This window comes from Homo sapiens, chromosome 4, assembly GCF_000001405.40.
Source record: "Homo sapiens chromosome 4, GRCh38.p14 Primary Assembly".
Lineage (NCBI taxonomy): Eukaryota > Metazoa > Chordata > Mammalia > Primates > Hominidae > Homo > Homo sapiens.
Genome location: NC_000004.12, coordinates 119,781,463 through 119,787,758, shown reverse-complemented (window position 1 = coordinate 119,787,758; position 6,296 = coordinate 119,781,463).

Here is a 6,296-nt window from a genome sequence, read left to right as displayed (position 1 = left end):
TTTTTGAAATAGGAGACAAAAGAAGTCTGGGCACAGTGGCTCGCGCCTGTAATTCCAGCACTTTGGGAGGCTGAGAGGGGATGATTGCTTGAGCCCAGGAGTTTGAGACCAGCCTGGGCAAATAGTGAAACCCCATCTCTTTAAAAAAATACAAAAGTTAGCTAGACATGGTGGTGTGTACCTGTAGTACCAGCTACTTGGGAGAATCCCTTGGGTCTGGAGGTAGAGGTTGCAGTGAGCCAAGATTGTGCCGCTGCACTCCAGCCTGGGTGACAGAGCAAGAACTTGTCTCAGAGCAAGACCTTGTCAAACAAACAAACGAACAAAAAAACACCAAAAGAAGGAAAGAAGCAACATTGCTAAATAAAAATTTATACCTTTATACCTACCTGAATTCACCGCATTCTTAAGTGGCAAAAATATCATTTCTACCTCTAGGCTTTATCCTTAACAAAAGTATGTATGAAGCTGGGAGAGCCTAAAAGCCCTCTAGGTTCATGGTACTATGATTAATCACTGGGAAAGGCCTCCCCTTCCTTAGGCACCCAGATTTGTTTAGCCTTCAGGGTAATGCACCTTAGTAACTTATAAAATGAATGAGGAATTTGCATATCCTTCATAAAGTGGTATTTGGGCTTTTGTGAATATAGGCTTGATTTCTGGCAGAACAATTTTGGGGAAAAGCTACATATGGAAGTAAAGTGTCAGAAAATTGATTCCCTTAAAACTCTTCATGTTTAGGTGTCTTGCAAAATGTTCACATCCTCCCAGGTTGGCACCACTACTCTATGCTATATTGTACCTCTCAAGATTGGGAAGGATGCTAAAAGCTTATGAAAATTATCAGTTAGTAAGTTACTGATTTACAAAAGCTCAAAAGTGCCTCAGTAAAATAATAAAATCTAGTCTTATTGTCATGGTTAGAAACAAGACATAAGGAAGATAATATGATTTAACCCAAGAAAGAGTAATAGCCTCAGACAATTTCGTATCATCCTACCATTTTTCTTAGGATTGAAGTTCTTCTGGTCCTCCATTGCTGCCCTACTTGCTCTTTCCAGGTATCCATGTACTGATGTATTTCATCTGCTGCAGCAACATACATTCCCTTAGGAACTTCTCTGTGTAGAGTGGAATCGGAGTCTGCTACAGTGATCTTTTCTAGGACATTTTCTCAACCTCCCACCCCAGGCTGAGCTCACAAAACCTAAATGTAGTAGCAGTTGTAGACTCCTCTTACTGTTTCTTTTACTACACGGTGAGAAAATGCATTAGAGAATAACAAAGAAAACTTATCTTTTTGTCACCTTGAAATTTTGAAGTCCAACTATATTCAAAGCACTATGGAAACCTTGCATAATGATTGGTTCTTTAAAACACAGTTGGATTTTAGCCTATTTGCTTTTATTGTATTGAAGAACTATTTAGCATTAGGTTGGCATGTTTCAGAGGTTCCAAATATAATTTTATAATGTTTAGTGGTAGAATCAACATTCAAAAAACTCTAAATTTGCAACTAAGATATATTGCAATTGTGTGCCACTCAAAAAAACAAACAAAAAAACCCTTAATACCTAATTAGGACACCTTGCCACCAGGTGGCAGGGGAATGCCTTCATTTCATGAACTGAACTACTTGGTAAAAACTATTGTTGCTATTTATTTCATTTATTTGCTTTTTATTGAAATCTAGGATCAATTGGAGACCAGTATTAGTGAAGTGGTAATCATTAACAATTTTAATCATTGATTGATATAAATTACTCTCTTTCCTGTATCATCATGATGTTTTGATGACGTATCAACTATAGCATCAAACATCTCCTCTAGTTTACTGGTTGATAACTTATAGTCTCTGGGGGCCTTGAAGACCCTTTCAGAGGCTTCGTAAAGTCAAGAATATTTTATCACTAATGCTAAGACATTTTTGCATTTTCATTCTCATTTTCTCATAAGTGTATGTACAGTAGAGTTTTGCAGAGGCTACATGACATGGGATAAGATGATCATACTGACACTTAAAGTAATGTATTATTATTGTATACTTGTATTTTAAATTTTTTCAGTTTTAATTTCTAACGTGGTAAATATTGATAGATATAAGCTAAACAAACAAAAATTCTTTAGGATCCCCAATAATTTTGAAGAGATTGAAGGAGTCCTGAGACCAAAATAATTTTAGAAGTACTTCTCTAAGTAGTTAGTTAACTCTAATTAAATGTATTCTCAGCAAACTAACACAGGAACAAAAACCAAACACCGCATGTTCTCACTCATAAGTGGGAGTTTAACAACGAGAACACGTGGACACATGGAGGGGAACATCACACACCGGGACCTGTCAGGGGGTGGGATCTAGGGGAGGGAGAGCATTAGGAGAAATACCTAACATAGATGACGGGTTGATGGGTGCAAGAAACCACCATGGCACATGTATACCTATGTAACAAATGTGCATGTTCTGCACATGTATCTCAGAACTTAAAGTATAATAATAAAAAAAAAGTGCATGTATTTTTCTATGTCTCCCAAGGATAGGAATTTTTATCAAATTTACCTTTGGATCCTATCCCATTGACAATTTAGCACTGACCATCATAATAGGTATTCAAAAAAGAAATGTTTGTTAAAAAACAGTACTGCTAGCTGAGAGCTATTATTAGAATAAAACAGTATTAATGCAGACTTTAAAAACAGGTATTTAAAGTTTCCTCATTAAAACTGAAAAACAAAATAATTAATTCTAATATACGTCTTCAGGTAAAAACTTAAACCATGTATAATTTAATCCCTTTGAAATTAAAATGCAATAGGACTTTGCTGATGAATATTACCTTTATATTCTACAAATTTGTATCTCCTATGCAAACTTCTGTTTTTTAAGTTAGCATATTTGATAGGGTTTGGCTCTGTGTCCCCACCCAAATCTCATCTCAAATTGTAATCCCCACATATCGAGGGAAGGACTTGTAATCCCCACGTGTCTAAGGAAAAGAGCTGCTTGGATCATGGGGGTGATTTCCCCCACACTGTTCTCATGATAGTGAGTGAATTCTCATGAGATGTGGTGGTTTTATAAGTATTTGAATGCTCTTTCTTCCTGCTTCCCTCTCCTGTCACCATGTGAAGAAGGTTCTTGCTTCTCCTTCACCTTCTGCCATGATTGCAAGTTTCCTGAGGCCTCCCCAGTCATGTGGAACTGTGAGTTAATTAAACCTCTTTCCTAAATTACCCAGTCTCATGTATTTCTTTATAGCAGTGTGAAAATGGACTAATACAGGAAATTGGTACCAACGTAGTGGGGCACTGCTATAAAAATAAGCTGAAAATGTGGAAGAGACTTTGGAACTGGGTAATGGGCAGAGTTTGGAACAGTTTGGAGGGCTCAGAAGAAGACAGGAAGATGTGGGAAAGTTCGGAACTTTCTAGAGACTTGTTGAATGGTTTTGACCAAATATTGATAGTGATGTGGGCAATGAAGCCCAGGCTGAGGTGGTCTCAAATGGAGTTAAGGAACTTGTTGGGAACTGGAGTAAAGGTGACTCTTGCTATGTTTTAGCAAAGAGACTGGTGACTGTTTGCCCCTGTCCTAGAGATCTGTGGAACTTTGAACTTGAGAGAGATGATTTAGGGATTATGGCAGAAGAAATTTTTAAGCATCAAAGCATCTAAGAGGTGACAGAACATAAGAGTTTGGAAAATTTGCAGCCTGACTGTGTGGTAGAAAAGAAAAACCCATTTTCTGGGGAGAAATTCAAGCCAGCTGCAGAAATTTGCATAAGCAACAAGGAGCCAAATGTTAATAGCCAAGACAATGGGGAAAATGTCTTCAGAGCACATCTGAGAACTTCATGGCAGCCCCTCCCATCACAGGCCCAGAGGCCTAGGAGGGAAAAACTGTTTTGTGGGCTGGGCTCAAGGCCCTACTGCTGCGTGCACCCTTGTGATTTGGTGCCCTGTGTCCCAGCTGCTCCAGCTCCAGCTTAGCAGGGGCCAAAGTACAGCTAGGGCTGTTGCTTCAGAGGATGCAAGCTTCAAGCCTTGGCAGCCTCCACGTGGTGTTGGGTGTGCAGGTGCACAGAAGTCAAGAACTGAGGTTTGTAAACCTCCACCTAGATTTCAGCAGATGAATGAAAATGCCTGAATGTCCAGATAGAAGTCTGTTACAGGGGTGGAGCCCTCATAGAGAACCTCTGTTTGGGCAGTGCAAAAGGGAAATGTGGGGTTGGAGCTCTCACACAGAGTCCCAACTGGGGTACTGCCTAGTGGAGCTGTGAGAATAGGGCCACTGTCCTCCAGACCTCAGAGTGATAGATCCACTGACAGCTTGCACTGTGCACCTGCAAAAGCCACAGATACTCAACACCAGCCCATGAGAGTAGCCGCAGGGCCTGAGCCCTGCAAAGCCACAGGGGCGGAGCTGCCCAAGGCTGTGGGAGCCACCCTTTGCATCAGCATGCCCTGGATGTGAGACATGAAGTCAAAGGAGATTATTTTGGAGCTTAAAGATTTAATAACTGCCCTGTTGGATTTCAGACTTGCATGGGGCCTGTAGCCCCTTTGTTTTGGCCAGTTTCTCCTATTAGAATGGGAGAGTTTATCCAATGCTTGCACCCTCATTGTATCTTGGAAGTAACTATTAATAACTTGCTTTTGATTTTACAAGCTCCTAGGTGGAAGGGACTTGTCTCAGTTGAGACTTTAGACTTGGACTTTTGAGTTAATGCTGGAATGAGTTAAGACTTTGGGGGACTGTTGAGAAGACATGATAAGTTTTGAAATGCATAAAGGGCATGAGATTTGAGAGAGGCCAGGGCAGAATGATATGGTTTGGCTCTGCGTCCCCATCTAAATCTCACCTCAAATTGTAATCTCCACCTGTTAAGGGAGAGACCTGTAATCCCCATGTGTTAAGGGAGGGAGGAAATTGGATCATGGTGACAGTTTCCCCCATGCTGTTCTTGGGATAGTGAGGGAGTTCTCACAAGATCTGATGGTTTTATAAGTGTTTGACAATTCCTCCTTCACACATGCTTCTCTTACCTGTGGCCTTGTGAAGAATGTGCCTGCGGCCCGGCTCAGTGGCCCATGTCTGTAATCCCAGCACTTTGGTAGGCTGAGGCAGGCAGATCACGAGGTCAGGAGATCGAGACCATCCTGGCTAACATGGTGAAACCCCGTCTCTACTAAAAATACAAAAAAAAAAAAAAATTAGCTGGGCGTGGTAGTGGGCGCCTGTAGTCCCAGCTACTCGGGAGACTGAGGCAGGAGACTGGCTTGAACCCGGGAGGCGGAGCTTGCAATGAGCCGAGATCGCACCACTGCACTCCATTCTGGGTGACAGAGCGAGACTCCATTTCAAAAAAAAAAAAAGAATGTGCCTGCTTTCTCTTTGCATTACACAGTGATTGTAAGTTTCCTGAGGCCTCCCTAGCCATGCAGAACTCTGAGTAAATTAAACCTCTTTTCCTTTATAAATTACTCAGTCTCAGGTATTTCTTTATAGCAGTGTGAAAACAGAATAATACAATATTTTTCTATGGAGTATCATATTCTGAATACTGTTTTTTCCTTATAAAAGTTATAAAGTCTTTTATATTAGAAGCTATGAAAACTGAATAGGGAGTCATGCTTAATTATTCATTGAGGACATGAGAAGTGTTTAAACATCAGAAACACGGAGATATTTTTATAATGCAGTATCATGTGAAACTGGAAAGTAATCACTGAAAATCTATTTATATAAGATATGAAGAACTGGCGTACTGAGAACAGCCTTTCAAACATAGGCAAGTGCAACTTGCTTTGAAAAAAGCTGTGATAAGAAGAAGCATACCCATAGAGGAAAAGCCTTTAGGCCCCTACAATCAAGAGAGGTTTGGGGGCTGACCTACCACTTCTGACTACTCTGGATACAAATTTTTATTGAAATTATCAGCTGGTTTCACTCAATTTATGTATTTAAAGTGCTTAAAGTAATTGTTTTCTTTGTATAATTTTGAACTAAAACATTGATAGTAACTGAATTCAAGCTAAGGAATAAGAAAAATATATAGTAAAGTTTTAATGAGTATAATTATTTATTGGGCCAAAACCTTATAAATAATATTGTGTGATTCTGACATTTCCTTCAATATTTTCAGACTAAGGAACAAATTATATCTCAGGGGGCTAAGAAAATGTTTTAGAAATTAAATATTTTCTCTTTCTTATTAAACAGAGGTTTTATTGTGAACTGATTTCTGTATTCCATATCATTTATATCTCATATAAGTCTTGCTAGAATTTTTCCTCTC